General features: G+C 36.0%; 3 pseudogenes; 1 reads left to right on the top strand and 2 right to left on the bottom strand.

Annotated features, from left to right (window-relative positions):
* Positions 336–1698, bottom strand: NDUFA5P6 (NADH:ubiquinone oxidoreductase subunit A5 pseudogene 6; annotated as a pseudogene).
* LOC100421201 (piggyBac transposable element derived 3 pseudogene) lies at positions 14341–15139 on the top strand (annotated as a pseudogene).
* PGBD3P3 (piggyBac transposable element derived 3 pseudogene 3) lies at positions 15134–15923 on the bottom strand (annotated as a pseudogene).

Genomic DNA, 19810 nt, shown 5'->3' with positions numbered 1-19810 from the left:
AATATGCTCTTTTCCTTTGGCATAATAAGCTGTAGAGATAAAGCTGGAAGTCCCTGAAGCTGTCTTTACTAACAAGCTTTAGAAACTTTATAAATATGAAGCTCCCAGACAGAAGGCAGATCTGACGATCTCCCCAAACTAACTTTGCCTGAAGGCTATCTTACCCCTGGATTTTCCAGTTATATGAGACAATTTACATTTTAGGATTTTAAACCTTAAAAATATATGGGTCTTTTAATAATATTATAGATTCAATCCATATCATGGGTGTTTGTCAGTGCTTACAACAGTGATCTACAGATTTAATGCAATCTCAAAATTCCAATGCATTTTTTACATGTAAAGTACTTTTATTTTTGTTTAACCTTCAGCTTGCCAGCTTCTTTCCTTACGCAGCATTTGTCTTGTTTGGATACTTACCTAAACCCATATTAGAAATGTAGTGCAAATTACTTAGTGATTCCACTTTGAATCTGTAGCCACATGACTAAGATGTTTTGAATATAGGCCTATCTGTATGCCAGATAAAACTTTAGGAACTCTTACTGTCTCTTCTTTCACAGAAATTCTACCTCTATCCTGATGTGGTTGGGTTGATTAAGAAAATTAAAGGCCATAGGCCATGGGCTTTCATAAATACAACAAAAGGAAAAATTTTTCCAACTACCTCTAGGCAGTAAGAAGTCTTTCTTTCAAGTACCAAATCAATTTCTTCAACCATACAATGTGTTCTATCTAATTTGATAGTTTTCAAATATAATCCATTAACAACAAAATATCATAAAATTATGACTATGAAAACAGAGTAAATGGAATAATTCAAATAATGAGTAAAATAAAAGGACATTTATTATGGAATTTGTAATCAGTATATAATTATATATTTAAATTTTTCTATACATACATAAGATCACAGACAAAAAAGTTAACTATAATTTCAAATTTTCAGTGACTTGGGCTATTTAATCACATTTGAAAGTATTCACTTTATTATTTACTTCAAACAGTGATCTATACGTTTGTTTAGACGATAATATTTAAGGGCCTTTTCTTCTTCAGGATAATAAAAAAATTAAATGATGCATTGAAGATTCTACTAAAGAAAATTTACTTTTTGAAAATGGCTTCTGCACGGAAGATTTGTAAGAATGTTTCTAGTTAATTTCAAATCTTCCCAGGACCTCTCTGTTCAAAGACATATCATCTTTGTAATAATTTATGTGAATACTTTACAAATAAAAAATTAATCCACGAGACTGTGTTACCGTAATCACTAACCTTAACAAGCCCCCCAAATATTTTCTATATCAGTTTTCTTGATTATAAAATGTCAATAACATGGGCACACTCTTAATATAACAGTCTATTTAATTACATCAGTTTCCCATCAAGCCACTAAAGTCATTTAATAATTATATTGGCCATCTCCACTGACTAGGGGGAGGCTCTTCCACTAAGAGCTCCCATGGATTCCTCGGCTCATTTTTCTCGCCAGACTTAGTTCATCTGCAGTGTGAAGAATCACCTCTTGTACTTGACCACCTTGAAGTTGATCTTCTAATTTCTTAACAGCTGGTTCCACTTTACCCATAGCCAGCTTCTCCTTTATAATCTGTTCTGTATACTTTCTATATGCTGCATTTTTAGGGATTTGCTCAAGAACATCAATAATCTTTCTGTACCATACTCTTAGCCTCTTACATTTTAGCAGACTGGCTCTAGTTGTTTTGCTCCTGTGGACTCCCACATACAGCCAGTCCCACAAGGCCCAGTGGTCTTCTTCAGCACACCCAACGTGACAGTGACCCAATGCATTTTTTACAGAATCAATTAAAAAAATTCCTAAAATTCAAATGAGACCACAAAAGATTCAGATAGCCAAAGCAATCTCGAGTAAGAAGAACAAAGCTGGAGGCGTCACACTTTCTGATTTTACAGCATGTTAAAATGCTAGAGCAATTAAAGTGGTTAGTAATGACCTAAAAACAGACAGACAGGCCAGTGGTGCAGAACACGGAGCCCAGGAATAAATCCGCACATTTACTGACAACCAATCTTCACCAAAGTTTCCACGAACACACAGTGGGAAAAGGATAGTCTCTTCAATAAATGGTGTCAGGAAAATCGGATATCCACATGCAGAAAAATGAAATCGGACCATTATTAAACATCCTGTTCAAAAATAAATTCAAAGTGGATTAAATATTACATGTAAGACTGAAAGAAAATAACTATAAGAAAACGGAGAGGAAAGTCTTGTTGATTTTGGTCTCAGTAAAGATGTTTTGGATGTCACACCAAAAGCACAGACTGAAAAAGTAAAACAGCACAGACTGAAAAGGTAAACAGAAAAAGTAAAAGGAAAAAAAGTAAAAAGAAAAACAGCACAGACTGAAAAAGTAAAACAGCATAGACTGTAAAAAAAGTAAAACAGCACAGAAAAGTAAAAAAGTAAAAAAGTAAAAAAAGTAAAAAAAGTAAAAAAGTAAAAAAATTAAAAAAGTAAAAAAGTAAAAAATAAAAAAGTAAAAAAGTAAAAAAAGTAAAAAAGTAAAAAAAGTAAAACAGCACAGAAAAAGTAAAACAGCACAGACTGAAAAAGTAAACAGAAAAAGTAAAAAGAAAAAAAGCAAAAAGAAAAACAGCACAGACTGCAAAAGTAAAAAGCACAGACTGAAAAAGTAAAATAGACAAAAGTAAAATAGACAAAAGTAAAACAGACAGGTAGGATTGCATCAAACTAAAATGCTTCAATACAGCAAAAGGAACAATCAACAGATTGAGAAGGCAATCTATGCAGAGGAAAAAATATTTGCAAACTATACATCTGGTAGAGTTAATATCCAAAATATATAAGAAACTCAAACAACAGCAAAAAAAAAAAAAAAAAAAAACCCAAGTTTAAAAATGAGCAAACGACCTAAATAAACATTTCTGAAAAGATATATATAAACGACCAAGAGGCATATGGAAAGGAGCTCAACATCACTCGTCATTGGGGACATGCACATAAACCACAATGAGATACCACCCACAATTGTTAAAATGGCTAATATCAAAAAGACAGAAGATAATTGCGGGCAAGGATGTGGAGAAAAGGAAATTCATGTATGCTGTTCACAGGAATGTAAATTGGTACAGCCAGTATGGAAAACAGCATGAATCTTCTCCTCCTTAAAAACAGGAGTACTAGATGACCCAGCAATGTCTCTGCTGGATGGATATCCAGTGAAATTGAAATCGGTATCTTGAAGATATGTCTGTATTTCCATGTTCATATTTCCATGTTCATTCCAGCATTATTCACAAAATCCAAGATGTAGAAAACAATATCTGTCAACAGCAGAACAGATGAAGAATATGTGACAAACACAAACACACACACGTGTGTGTATCTATCAATGTGTATACATACACATACACACACACACGCAGACACCACACACATATACAATCATGCTCCACATAATGCCATTTCAGTCAGTGACTAACTCTAACTGCATATACAGTGGTGCTCCCATAAGATTATAATGGAGCTAAAAAATTTGTTATCACCTAGTGACGTAGCTGTGGTAACATCATAGCACACATTTTTTTTTATATAAATTTAGCATAGCCTGGCAGGGCACGGTGGCTCAGGCCTGTAACCCTAGCACTTTGGGAGGCCGAGGTGGGCAGATCACCTGAGGGCAGGAGTTCGAGACCAGCCTGGCCAACATGGTGAAACCCTGTCTCTACTAAAAAACACAAAAATTAGCTAGGCATGGTGGTGCATGCCTGTAATCCCAGCTACTCAGGAGGCTGAGGCAGGAGAATGGCTTGAACCCAGGAGGTGGAGGTTGCAGTGAGCTGAGATTGCATTGCACTCCAGCCTGGGCAACGAAAGAAACTCCATCTCAAAAAAAAAAAAAATAGCATAGCCAAAGAGTACAGTGTTTATAAACTCTGCAGTAGTGTACACACTCACTGACACACCCAGAGCAACTTATAGTCCTGCAAGATCCGTTAATGGAAAGTGCCCTAAGGGTACCATTTTAAAATCTTTTATAGTATATTTTTACTGTATTTTTTAAATGCTTAGATATGTTCAAATACACAAATATTTACCATTGTGTTAGAATTGCCTACAGTATTCAGTAAAGCAACATGCTGTACAGATTTGTAGCCTAAGTGTATAGTAGGCTATGCCATGTAGGTTTGTGTGAATGCACTCTGTGATGTTTGCACAAGGATAAAATTGCCTAAGGACACAATTCTCAAAACGATCCCCATCAGTAATGATGCATGACTGTATATGTGTGTATATACATACACATAACATGTGAATTCATACATATATATGTGATGAAATATGTATACGTATGTGTGTGTGTGTATATATATATATACCGGAATATTATGTAACCTTTAAAAAGAAGAGAATCTTGTCATTTGCAACAATATGCATAAACCTGGACAACAATGTTAACAACACAATGTTTCTGAAACCATCTATAAAATTTCTGCCCTCCCCTCCAGTAAAATAAGCCAGACATGAAATGACAAACACCGTGTGACCTCACTTGTACATGGAATCTGAAATAGTCAAACTCATAAAAGCAGACAGTAGAATGGCGGTTGCAGGGTCTGACGATGGATGAAATAGGAAATGTTGGTCAAAGGGGACAGACGTGAAGTTATAAGATGAACACGTTCCGGAGATCTGCTGTATGGCAATGTAACTAGAGTTAATGGTAGTATATTGCATACTTGAAATTTGCAAGAAGGTAGGTCTTAAGTGTTCTCACAACACACACACACACACACACACACACAAAAGTTCATTATAAATAAAATGATAGATGTGTTAATTATGGTGATTATTTCATAATGTATTTGTACATCAAAACATCAAGTTGCAAAATTTACGCTACATTTGTTTGTATCAAATGGCCCACTTTAATAATATATTTAAATAAATATATATATATATATATATACACAAATTTTTGAGACAGCTTCTCACTCGGTCACCCAGGCTGGAGTGCAGTGGCACAATCTCAGCTCATTGAAACCTCCACTTCCTGGGTTCAAGCAATTCTCCTGCCTCAGCCTCCCAAGTAGCTGAGATTACAGGTGCCTGCCACCACATTCAGCTAATCTAAATATATAATTTTTATTTGACAGTTATATCTTAATAAAGCTGGAAAAACTCTGCACAATAGAGGCCCGTAGTCAATGTAATTATAAATCTTTGTAATAAAGCACAATAATATAGATATTATTATACATATATAACACAACTATATATATATCACAACTATATATATATCACAGCTATATATATATCACAGCTATATATATATCATAGCTATATATAATATATATAATCTATATTATAGATGATATATAATCTATATTATAGATTATATATAATCTATATTATATATAATCTATAATATAGATGATATATAATCTATAATATAGATTATATATCATCTATATTATAGATTATATATCATCTATATTATAGATTATATATAATCATCTATATTATATATTATATATAATCTAGATATATATATTATATATTATATATATATTTTATATAAATATATAGATTATATATAATATATATATTTATATAAATATATTATATATAAATATATATATAATTTTATATAAAATATAAATTTTTATATAAAATAAAAATTTTTATAAAATTTTATATAAAATATATAATATATTTTATATATATATAGTTTCAGTACAGCAAAGGACTTTAGAAGCTCTAATTTCCTGTGTAGAGAAACCGAGGTCCAGCAATGTGAACTGGCCTGACAAGAAACTCACACATCCTACCCCCTGAATTGCAATCTAATATTATTGCTAGTACTTCAGGATAGTCTTGAACTATCCGGAGCAGATAATGGGAGTAATTCAGGGACAGTGAATTTAGCACTCGCTGTATTCATAGTATTTGACACTCCACTTAACATGCATTTGAGATTTGTAGCCTCTGACAGTGACTGCTTCCCACAGTAAGTGAGCTGTGCTGAAGGGGAGGAAGTCGACATTTTCTAGGTATTTTCAGAAGCATACTGCATTAGTAACTTTGTCATATTCTGCCTCCACTTCCAATGGTAAATTTCAGCAAGCTTAGATGTCACTCTGTTTTAACCTAGAGTCTTTCTGGAACAAAGGAACTATATGATGCTTATGGGGTTTAGAGAAGAGAGTAATGAGGCAAAAATAACTGACTTAAGCCATTTAGCTGAAAGTGAAAATATATTATTTCAGACATTAAGTCTCTAGATCTTTCCCTGGTGCCCAGAATTCATGTTTTCACAGTTGGAAAGAGCAAAAAAAAAAAAAAAGAAATAGGACATTTATCTTAAGATTTTCCAGAACAGACACGAACTAGGCAAATATTGTGGTTGTCTCAATTTACTTTGCTAAAATATTCATCCAAATTCAATGAGTTTGTCTCCTGTGTGTCTTTGAATATAGCTGTATCACCATGAGGGCTTGGGCATTCTGGTTAGAAAATCAGTCATCCCAGATTTAAACCCGGCCCTTTTAAAAGCTCCTCATCGCACCAGCCTAAATCACCACGCTAATAGTCACACTACTTTCTAGCATCTCCTTTGATGCCAGATTCAAATGTATCCTCATCTTTATAATAATTACGTGCTTCATGCAAAGTTTCCAGGACTGAAGTATTTTTGTTTTCCCACTTCAGCCGCTGACTGCATCCTCAACATGAGTTCTGCCTTTGAACATGTATTTAAACTATTCCGGCTGGGCATGGTGGCTCATGCCTGGATTCCCAGCAGTTTGGAAGGCCGAAGCAGGAGCATTGCTTGAGCCTAGGAGTTCGAGACCAGCCTGGGCAACAGCGTGAGATCACTGTCTCTAAAAAAGTAAAACTTAGCCAGGCATGGTGGCTTGTACCTGTAGTCCCAGCTACTGGAGAGGCTGAGATGGGAGGATCACTTGAGGCCATGAGGTCGAGGCTGCAGGGAAGTGAGCCATGATCACACCGTGGCAGCACTCCAGCCTGGGTGACCACGTCTCTAAAAAAAACAACAACCACAGAATTCTTTTCATTGCTATTCATTTCCGTTGTTTATGTGGAACTTGAATATTTTCTAGACTTCAAGTAACAAATCGTGTGTGTGTGTGTGTACAAATAAATACAAATATACGTATACATACACGTGCACACAAACACATACATAGGAGAAGCTTGGAGAGGCAGAAACACACAGTGGAAAGGCTTAAGCATGTTTATACTGTCTTTCCTGCATTCTTCAGCCATGAATGGGCATTGGTTGCAGGCATATGAAAGGGCTCCAACTCTCAGTATCTCCCAGTCCTGTTTATCCACCCAATAGGCCTTCAAATATAAAGGAGGCTTCATCTATTGCTTAACTTTTCAAAAAGATTACTACGATAACATGGTACAATTGAAAAAATACAGTCTTTCTATAAATATGCTGCTATAAGCACACAGTTTAGAGGTCTAAAAATATTATAGATGTCCCCAAAGTAAAACTCTACGGCTGATTACTTCATTTCAAAAAATTATTTAAAATAATGTGCTTTTAAAAGTGTTTTTAGGGGCTTCCAGTCTACACAGCAGTAGCTGAGGGGTTGCTGATATCCTACTTTCCCTGACTATGAGAATAATGAGAATAAGCCAATATGATAATGATTTAAATATATGGAGTGTTTAATTTGTGACAAACTATTCACATGAATTATCTAATTAAATAAATACTGAAAATAGTCCTGAAAGATACTTTATCCCTATTTTAAAAATTAGAAAACTGAAGCAACTCGTTAAGTGTCATAAATGCTGTCTTGTGTTATAAAACCCTGATATTGACTCAGATGATCTGAGATTGGCAGGAGTAATTGCCCCTCTGATGTCTCCAGCTGGACACTTTCTACTCCATTGGTGTGTACCATGTTTTACAAGCATATATTATGTCAACATTATACAACCTCATCAAGTGTGGTAGAAAACCCCAGTAGGACAGCATATTAAGTTTACACAGGAAGTTTAAAATATACCTTATTTACCCTATCTTAGATCTACACAGTATCTATTCCCCTTCATCAACAAACTAGAAATTTCAAGGGAGAATTGAGAAAGTACTTATTTACCTAGGGGGTTATGTTTTTTGCTCATGTAGGCAATTCAGTATATTTTGTTTCTATACAGTTGTCCTTGTAGTAATCCTAGACATGGTTACTGTTGGCAAAAAGCAATACTCACAGCTCCTTCCTTATTTTGAAATTTCTGGAATTCTCTGCTAAAGTCAGAACCACCAATTCGTTTATACAGCTAATTTGTCTTCTTCTCTGAGTGCATTTCTTTTGGTAACACTTCACATTCACATTATCAAATCAACAGCAGATATAAAGAACTGGTTTGATGATGTGGCCTTGATCTAGGTAACTAAGCAAGAGAGAAAATAAATAGGAAATATAGCCATTGCCTTTGATGAGACAACAACTATGGAAACTAAAGTCACTAATTCCTCAAGAATAATAATCATACACAACTACTGAGTTTTTTAGAGGATGAGTTTTTTCTTTGTATTTGAGATATATCAAAATTGTTTTTATAAAATAACCAGTCATTGTAGCCATAACGCCAGATATAATATGAGAAAAAAAACACTTTATTGTGTTATACTCCTATACTTTTGAAGATTGTTTATTATAGAAGCTAATCTTACTTACCTTGACCAAATAAATTGTATACACTGTCTAAAGTATATTCACACGTGTGTCATGTTATTGTCCTTACTCTGAGAGATCTTGAAGCTTACCCCTTTTTGCATGCTTTTCTTTCAGTTGGGTTCAACAAACTTTTTTACTATCATGTATCTGGAAACTTATGGATAGAAACCAAAAAATGGTCATCACATACTTAGAGTTAGAAATTACACACTTTAATATGTAGATGTTTGTCACAGGGTACAAAGTTTCAGTAAGAATGAATATATTTTGGAGCTCTAATTATACCATGTTGACTATAATTAACAATACTGTATGGTATTGTATATTTGAAGGTTGCTAAGAGAGGAGGGCTTCAATGTTTTCAACACACACACACACACACACACACACACACACACACATAACTATGTGAGGTCTATATGTTAATTAGCTTGACTATTGTAATCATTTCACAATGATCATTGTATATCGAAACACCACATTGTATGCCTTAAACATTTGTATTTGTTAATTATACCTCAATAAATCTTGGAACAATAAATGAAAGAAATCTTATTTGGTTACAAAAATCAACCATGTAAAATAGGTACCGTTAGAACTTTTTGTTAAAAGTAAACTTGATACTAATGAAGAGCATATATACCCCAAAGTGCTCAAAACATAAGTATTCAGATGCATTTGATGTAAAGGACTAAGCTAAATATGTCAGACTGGATTTTAAAACTATAAGCTGCTTACAAGATGTATACGTTTCAAATTAGAACACAGAAAATATGAAAGTCAAAGCATGAAAAAGGATATAACACAAAATTCAAATATATAGCTATATTAATATCTGATCAAGTAGCAAATTAAGAAATATTATTATAATTAGAAAATCATGTTTCATAATGAGAAAGCACCAATTCACCAGAAAAAAATAATTATTCTCAACTTCTATGTGCCTAGTCATGTAGCCTCAACATATATAAGGCAAAAAATTAACATAAATAAAAGGAGAAACAGGCAACAGAGTTCAATGCACTGGAAGATATAACAATTCAAAACTTATATGCGTCTATTAACATAACCTCAAAATACATAAAGCAAAAATTACCAGAAATAAAATATATATAAGCAGTTATACACTTGTAGATTACACACTTACATGCCCTTTTCTTGGGGAAATAACAGAGTTATTACGCCTCAAAGATGGCTGCTTTGGGATTTGAGATGAGTATGATAAAAAAACTAGACGTGTGCTAACCACTATTTGCCTCCTTCTGCCCAGCCTTCCCTTCCTGGCTCTTTAATCTTCACCTGCTTCTATATTTGGTTTTCTCCATGTTAACTTTGTGGTTTTGAGGAATGAATTAATGGTGCTTTATCTTTGTAATTCCAGAAACACATGCATGATACCTGCACGTCATAAGTATTCGATAAATATTTGAGGAGTAAATAACACTAGTGTTTCATACCACTTTAATATGTAGATGATTGTCACAGGGTACAAAGTTTCAGTAAGAATGAATAGTGAGGGAATCAGCATTTTTGGTTTTAAACATTCTGGGTATGGTCCTTTGGTAAAAATTCTCACTCTTATTTTATAGTGAGATGGAATATACCACACCTGGGGAGAGATGTTTGGGCACTCTTGGCTAGTATCAGTGCAAAGCCTTAAATAGTTAATTACGTTTTTTGCACTCACTATTTTTCCAAAAAAAATGCATGTTTAACTTAAATAACCCCTGTTATCCTTCATTTTGCCATCCACCATTGCTAAATGTGTCTTGAGCGTCTTGAATGATTTCAATGGACATATAGAGGAAAGGAAAATTACTACTTTCAGAGCCAAACCGTGTGTATGCGTGTGTGTGTCTGTGTGTGTGTGTAAGAAATATATCCAGTTTTATAGACAAATTGTCAGTCTGAGTATTGGCATTTTTATCTTTCCAGATGTCTGATCAATACATTGCTCACCAAATAACTCTGCACTAGTTAAGTCATCCCCAATAATGGTTTCTTTACAAGAAAATAATGAATATTGCAAACCATTTGTTCTGACAAGTAAGTTCTTCCGTGCATCATCTTTGATTGCCAATTTTATGCAAATATGTATTTATATGGTCAGTCTACAGCACTTCACATTACTGAGAAGCATACAACAATTATTTATGATATAATAATTTTCATTTTTCAAGAACTGAATGATACATGAAAGAGAATGCACAATTACATTGAATGTTGTTTGCCATTAATACACTCTGAAATCCTTCAGTAGAGAATGATACTCAAATTTAAGCAAGGCAGCTCATACACACTACAAAGCTATTTTCAGAAAGATTAAAAAGATTTGCACTTCCATCAACAAAGAAAGATATAAAACAAGATAAGTGCATATTGAAGGATTCTTCTAATATTCTCCCATGAAAAAACACGAGAATATCAGAGGAATCATAAATAGCCAATTTCATTTACTTATTCATTTCAGACATTAAAAACGTTTTTAAAAGAATGGGGTTTATAAGTGGTATAACTAAGTAGCTATAAACATTTTTTCTTTTCACACAGACTTCCAGAATGTGCCTGCAGGCAATCAGATTTTTAGCAGGTAATTGATGATGGTCAGTTATATTCAGATTCTGTCCAAATTGATATTCTTGAAAAAAACAAAATGTACAAATATTACAACGGAGAGAAATCATCACAAGCTGCAAGATTTCATAGGATGAAAGTTTAGGCATTGATTATGGAATTGGGTGCAATTTTATGTTATGTGAGGAGCAAGTACTTTTTGTCTTTGAGCATTTATGATAGTAACAGTTTCCATTTATTAAATAGATGTGATATATTAAGAACACTACTCAGATATTTTACACCTAATGTATAATCTTTGCAACAAGTGTATGAGATAACTTTATTCCTATTATAATAATGTGGAAATTGAGCTTCAAAGAGACTGCCACTTGCCCCTGGTTATGCAGGAGGCCCTTAAAAGACCTGAATTTTGGCAGGGCACGGTGGCTCACGTCTGTAGTCCCAGCACTTCGGGAGGCCGAGGAGGGCAGATCACGAGGTCAGGAGATCAAGACCATCCTGGCTAACACGGTGAAACCCCGTCTGTACTAAAACACACACACACACACACACACACACACACACACACACACACACACATTAGCTGGGTGTGGTGGCGGGCGCCTGTAGTCTGAGCTACTCGGGAGGCCGAGGCAGGAGAATGGCATGAACTGGGGAGGCAGAGCTTGCAGTGAGCTGAAATTGCACCACTGCACCCCAGCCGAGGTGACAGAGCGACACTCCGTCTCAAAAAAAGAAAAAAAAAAGACCTGAATTTTTACTTGGGTCTCAATTAATCTGAAACAATTTTCCTCTTAATATGTCCATCTGGCTAGCTGTCTTCAGGTCCCTGTTGAACTATCACTTTATTAAAGAAGACATTTAATAAAAAAAACATGTTAAGGAATTTGCGACTGTTTCCAGCCCCTTGACACATACCTTATCTGACCCAGGGGGTATGTATGGATCTTTATGTTTGCTGTCTGTGTCATGCACTTAATTATCAGCTCCACAGGGTGTGAGGCTTTGTTTTGTTCACTTCTCAGTCCCCAGCATGCAGAAGAGAACGTGGACTATGCTTTCTAATCATGCATGAGCAATGAAAGGATGAGAGAATGAAGGCATTCAAGATATTGTGCTCTTAAATCCTTTGCGAAATTGTCTGCAGGTCTCCGCAAGTTCTTTAACTATTAGCTGAAAAATTGTACAATGGGTCACAATGACCCTTGTCAAAAAACCTCCCCCCACCTCAGTTTCTTTATGTGTAAAATAAAGATCTACCTTATCAAAGTTGTTATAGGGCTTAAAGATAATTTAATAGATGTCAGCAATTTGTTAAATATAAAGCATCATGGAAATTCTAGTGAGTTTACTATTCTTGTTCACTTTTCAAATAAGATGATCATTCCTGGTTCTGATTCAAAACCAAACAAAAATGGTAAATCACTGTCACAGACAAGTATATACTGGCCAGTTCTTAACAAGAGTAATGAGGCTGTCCTGCAGTATTTGTTTTATTTATCCACATTGATTGCATACAAGGTACAGCTAAACTTCCAGTAAGTGTCCTCTTTGCTAGATACCTTCTGTTTGCTTCCCTCTTCTGCTGTCCACCCTGCCCTGTTCTTTAGAATACAAGGAAGCTGACCTCTTTGGACGCTGAACTTCCTTGTTTGAGGCCTTCTAGTTGTGTTCAGCCAATGGGAGAATTTTGGAGCTCAGAAGCAAGAGAAGTCAAAGCATTTTATTCTCTCCACTTCCTCCCTGCCAGGTCACAGCTTGGAGGTGTCTGCCTTCCTCTGCCAAGGCCACAGCCCCCAGTGAGGTTCTTATTGTGTTCTGGGAACACAATAAAGCTTCTTCCTCTTGCCCTTTCAGTTTTGAGCAGTAACTCCTTCCCATGTTTGGTAGTTCTCGCGTGTTTCATCATATCTTGTTGCTTCCCCTGATTCTGCCAATGCCTGTTTAAGGAGTTCTTGCACATTAAAAATTCTGCTTCCCCATTTGAGTGTGACCCACAGTCCCTTTCAAGATCCTTACAGATACATTGTATGTACGACAATTAAGCTGGCACTTGCATATTGCTTACTTCATACCACAGAGGTGTAGATGTTTAGGTACTTTGGAAAAGTTATGGATTTTGTAGATGAGGACACTAAGGCCCATGGATGATAGTTTGTCTAAAGTCACACAGCACATAAGTAGCATATCTGAGATATGACCTGAGACAATCTGGCTTCAATAGTAGCAGTTTGCTACTTTTAAAATCTTAAATGAGGGCCGCTCAGGCTAGTGACTTTTCCAATTACAAAGCCAGTGGTGTTTATTAAATGATTTACTGTTCATTAATCACCATTCACTGTGAGAAGTGCTTATTTGAAGTCATTAACTGAGCTCTCCAGTCACCCAGTGATCCTTAATTCAACAGAAAAATTTGTTTTTTTGTGCCCCAGCTAATTTGTGCTTGTTAATATATAATTAGTGTGCAGTATCTTACTCTATTATAGAAACAATGCAAAACCAGGAAGAAGCAGAGATAATTTACACATAATCAAAGACGATTACACATCTTTTTTTCAAATTAATGGTGTAATAAATTTTCACAGCCATTTTTACACCTAAGTTTTCTTACATTTCAACATAAAGGCAGCAGAAATAAAGGTTGGTAAGCGTGGTATACTGAAAGCCAACTCATATCAGCTTATCAGAGTCAGTTAACAAGAATTTTATGAGCTTGCTGTTAAGTACAACCACTATTTAAAAATTTAAAACCAAATAATGCTCCAATTCCTGCAACTGTTCCCCAAAAAAGTGCTCTTGCAATGAACAGTGCTGAAGTTGAAAAGAGTTTCAGTGTAATGAATACAAGTTATATGAATGTTAAAAATAGTGTAAAAGTACATCACTTATCCTATTTAATGACAATAAATGTAATGGGAAGAACGAACTTGAGATGTAATCCCATTAGAAAAGAAACCCTTTTTGGGGGGTGGGAAGAGGGAGAGAATCAGGAAAAATAACTAATAGGTACTAGGTTTAATACCTGAGTGATGACGAATCCATGGTTCCTTATTTTGGTCGTCACTGGTGCAGTTTACTCAGGGAAAGCCCGTTCTGTTTGGCTATAAGTTTTGGTGTGGTGCCATATGTCTGGGCTACATTTGCTGGTTTCAGCCGTATCAGGGTAAAAACCCAAATACTAAACATTAGGGATATGGTGTTGTTGAGTCACTTGTCCGTCAGCTTAGTGAGGCACTTACAGAGGCACATCCTGGACAATACCATTTTGTATTCGATAACTTTTTCACCAGTATTGTACTTCTTGATAAGCTCAGTTCAATGGGAAATCGGGCAACAGGTACAGTGAGAAAGGATCACATTGAGAAAGCTCCACTGAAATTAGATGTAGCTCTAAAGAAAAAAGAAAGGCACATTCCATTATTGAATTGATGGCAAAGGCAGTCTTGTCTGCAGATGGAATGATAACAGTGTTGTCACTGTTGCCTCTTCTGGTGCTGGAATCCATCCCCCGTGTCTTGTCCATCGTTATTCCCAGAATAACGAATAACTGAAAAAGAAACCCAAGTTCAGCAGCCAAACATGATCAAAGTGTATAACCAGTGCATAGGGAGCATAGACAGCGCTGATGAAAACATTGATAAGTATCGGGCATCTATCCATGGAAAGGAATGGCATTCAAGCCCTCTTCTGTTCTGTTTTGAATTGGTCTTACAAAATGCTTGGCAATTGTATAAAACATATGATGAGAAGCCAATAGATTTTCTGGAGTTTGGTTGATGCCATTATCTGGAGACCCATGGTCACCCTCCAGAACCTGGCCGAAAACAAATTCATACATCTCTCATTGCGTTTGCTTATGAGAGGTTGCAACTTGGAAAACTCGTCCATTGGATCCAAATTTGCATTGTCAGCAACATGCAAGTTAGAAAATATAGTTTCAAAGTGGTCACATCTCATGGCAGCACAAACCAGTATATTATGTGCATCTGTTCTTTTTTCCCAAAACGTATGCCTTCTATGAACTGAGATGTAATCATTCAGAAAATAATTCCTAGGAAACATTTGAATTCAGAGCTAGTTAAGCCACGCTGTACACCCTTACTTCGAGCGTGTAAATTGGAGTACCTGACAATGAGTTCAACGACCTTGTCATCAAGAAAACGTTCAAGAATTTCTGTGGGAGTTTCATTTCGGTGAAGAAATCATTTGGTGGTTCTGTAACTCTAGCTGCTATGAGTTGCGCAGTTAGGTCAGCTTTTTTTCCATTTGCAAACAATTTTTGTCACTTTCCTCCTCCTTGATGGTGGAGGTTGCTGCACAGTAGAGGTAGGTGGAACTTCATCGGGAGAGTCATCTTTAGGTGCGTATGAGGGATCATCTGAGTCAGACTCAGCATCAGAGCCATCTTGAATAAGATATGCAACTGTGTGCAACAAAGAACCTGGCAGATTATTTATTATCCCCCCTTCTTCATCTCCTGAGTCCTCAACAGAAACAGGTGCTGCAGCAGTTTCAGGTTGTTGTATCACTACAGCACTTGAGTCTATGCTGTCATTTGTCTCTAAAAGGTCAGTTATTTCATGCAAACTTAGAGTTCAAGGCATCTTGGGACTAACACAGAAAAAAAAGGTATTATTAGTCCTAGTGGCAGTGGTTTTGCCTAGTGTTCTAAAAATGGAACATGAAAAATGCCAAACCCATAACTAATGCAACTATAATAATTTCTGTATTTTCTTTTTAAAGCATAATAGTATAACTAGTAGAGAAGTAGTAGAATAAATTACTAGTATAGGATGTAATTCAGTGAAGTTATATGTACCTGTCTTTGCATACTTCCTCAAAAATGTTTCCCAAACTAACTTCACTTTTTGACAAGCTCCCAGCACAGCAGTATCTGCAGCAGTGACTAAGGCTGTGCACCATGTGATAACATGTACCCTCCGGAGGCAGACGTGTGAAAAATAAAACCTTGGTGATGACCTTGAGGAGTAGGATATAAATAACTCCCACATGCTTAGCGCTCCAATAATGGAACAACAGGTATAAATTAAGTAAGGTACAATTAAAAAGTCAGCAATTTTCCCAATATTTTTCTATGGTAACTCATTGAAAAAGTGGTCCTTTCGCATGGCTCTGCAGTTTTGGTTTTGTCATAAATAAAGTAACTGCTGGCTGATTTATCCCTCTCTGTACCTCCCTGTCCTTCCACCTTATTAATTTTATACAAAAGTAACTTTGTTATTTGTGGCCTTTCACAAAAGTTTTAGGATCAGCTTGTCATTTGATCCGTTGCCAAGAATTTAGAATCATCATTTTGTCAATTTCCAACATACACAGTCACACACAACCTTTCACATCTTTATTAGAATAGAACTGAATCTATATATCACATGGGAAGAACTGACATTTTTATGATCTTGAGCCATCCAATTTATAAGCATGATATACTTTCTGTTTATTTAGGTCTTCTATTGTTTCTCTAATAAAGTCATGGTAAAGCTTTCTGTGTAGACCTGTCCCAAAGCTTTACTTCAAAGATTTATTCCTAAGTATTTGATGCATTTTCATCTTTGTTTTCTTTAATTTTCCAAGTGTTTGTTGTTAAAATATAGAAATTTAATTCCTTTTTCATATATGAATATTAACCAAAAGTCTTGCATATGGTTTTTTTTTGTTATTTTTATTATTACCTTTTTTTTTGAGACAGAGTCTCGCTCTGTTGCCCAGGCTGGAGTGTAGTACCACCATTTTGGCTCACTGCAACCTCCACCTCCTAGGCTGGAGCACTTCTCCTGCCTCAGCCACCTGAGTAGCTGAGACTACAGGTGGGCACCACCAAGCCTGGCTAATTTTTATATTTTTGGTAGAGACAGGGTTTCACCATGTTGGGCAGGCAGGTCTCGAACTCCTGGCCTCAAATGATCTGCCTGCCTCGGCCTCCCAAAGTGCTGGGATTCCAGGCCTGAGCCACTGTGCCCTGTCTTGCCTACGTTTTTAATATTTTATCTGTATATACGTCTGCTAATAATGACAATATAATGTTTAAATTTTCATTTCTGATAACTTTTATTTGGTTGGTGTTTCCAATATTTAAATGAAGCAGTAATAAATATCACACTTGTAATAGCTCCAACCTTAAAAGAATAATTTTCTACATTTCATTATTCAAAGTGTGATGCTTGGTTAGGCTTTTTTTTTTTTTAACATTTTCTCTAATAAATACATTTTTCTAATTATCAGAATATCTTATGAGTGTATTTTAAGTACCAAATCATTTCTTTGAATTTTTTTTCTAATATTTTGGGTTCAAGGCCTTTTCTTGTGGTCCTCAGGGAAAAAAGTAGTGACTATGCTCTAGAATTAACTAGCATTATATTCCTGAAAGTACTGTCTCTTATGATTTTTTTTTTTTTTTTTGAGATAGAGTCTCACTCTGTTGCCCAGGCTGGAGTACAGTCACGTGATTTTGGCTCACTGTAACCTCCGCCTCCTGGGCTCAAATGATTCTCCTGCCTCAGCCTCCCAAGTAGCTGGGATTGCAGGTGCCCACCACCAGGCCTGGCTAGTTTTTGTATTTTTAATAGAGATGGGGTTTCACTATGTTGCCCAGGCTGGTCTTGAACTCCTGGCCTCAAGTGATCCACCTGCCTCAGTCTTTCAAAGTTCTGAGATTACAGGTGTGAGCCACCACGCCCAGCTTATGATCTTTTATTTTGCATTTCTTGGTTAAAAATTGCCTTAATTAATGTTTTTTTCTTTATAAAAAGTTTACGTTTTGTGTAGAGCACCAAGTAAAATTTAGTTAACAGGACTCTGAGATGGCAACATGAGGAGTTCCATGGAGGAAGAAAGAGCACTACGGGTGAAAACTATTTACAAAGCAGCTGTGGAGAGTCTCTGGCAATTGTCTCAACAGCGTACAGCAAAGGAAGAAACATTTGTTGTAGAAAGCCTACCAAATACCAAGAGTCTGAGGCACTCAAGACATAATCCACCTCCTTTCCCTGAGTTCAGCAGATGGAACCTCATCTCCAGAGATATGGAGGAAAAAAGACAGAGCTCTCCCTTTCCTCAGCTCCCAACCGAGGAATATTATCTCACTGGGAGGCACAGGCCACCAACATTTCATGTCTCCTCTAATTTCAAGTTGAGGCTAAATTGCTAGTAAATACAATTGAGAGGTCAGAGGATCACTTCCTCAGCCTGGCCTTCCCTCTTAAGATGAAAGCTTTACGCCAGGCATTTCAGGCTGTCTTGAAGGGCATGCCCTAGACGACCTGAAGGATTCTGGTTGGGAGAGACAAGTCTAGAAAACCACAGGCTGTACCCAGTACTTGTAGTGGTAGCTCAGAGATTGTGCCAAGGGAGAATAGAAGTGTGTAAGAACAGAGAGCCCTAACTCTTTCCCCAAAAGAACTGAGTGTATTTGAAAAAGAGTGTGGGGAAGTTCAGATCTAAGGGCTTGAAAACAATGGAAATGTTGGTGGTATACAAATAATAAACTGGTAATTCCTCATAATTAAGAAGAACATGCTAAAACATAAACTAATTAGTTTACTTATGAGAACCAGATAATGTGACTGCTATAAATAATCCATATGTTTGAGGTCAAAGAAAACCTCAAACAATGGCCTCAAAAACCACAGTTTGCCCAGATGTAATTGCATCAGACTGTGGAGCAATATATAATCCAGGACGTTCTAGAAAACAACAGCATAATCAGCCAGCAATTAGTGGATCCTAATAATTGGATGTGAACCAAATGAGGCAGGCAGGTTAACAGAGAGATCAAGGAAAGAAACATTCAAAGAAAACCTTGTTTAAACAACAGTAATCCAATGCTTACCCTGTCCATGTCCAAGGCTGTGCCCTCTGAGCAATGAGCACAAAAGCCTTCACCGTGGTAAGAAGTAGACTTTACAAAATAAGTTAGGCAATACTTAAATAGGCAAACAATTAGCAAAACAAATCCCAGAGAGGGGGGAGGAAAATCTGTATCATGATTGACTACATATATTCTTTAAAGTGTCCAATTTTTTACAACTAAGACAAATGATGTGACATCTGAAACAAGAAAGTGTGACTCATACATAGCGGGAAACGTAGGCAACAAAAACTTCCTGTGAAAGGATCCAGATGTCAAATTTAACAGACAGATTTAAATATGTTCAAACCATTAGGGGTTTGTCCTAATGCATGCAGGACTTAAAACCTAGATGACGGGTCGATGGGTCCAGCAAACCACCATGGCACATGTATACCTACGTAACAAACCTGCACATTCAGCACATGTATCCCAGAACTTAAAAAAAAAACTTAAAAAGTAAAACGAAAATAAAACCAAAAGCAAACACACACAAACAAATAAACAATGATAACAGTGCCACATGATTTCAAAAAAAGATAAAAGTTATAAAAAAGAACCAAATGAAAATTCTGGATTTGAAAAGAATAATCATTAAAATGAAAAATTCACTAGAGAGGCTCAACAGTAGATATG

The sequence above is a fragment of the Homo sapiens genome, chromosome 12 (assembly GCF_000001405.40).
Source record: "Homo sapiens chromosome 12, GRCh38.p14 Primary Assembly".
Classification (NCBI taxonomy): Eukaryota; Metazoa; Chordata; class Mammalia; order Primates; family Hominidae; genus Homo; species Homo sapiens.
Note: the sequence above shows the minus strand (reverse complement) of the source record. Positions and strands in the feature narration are given on the sequence as shown.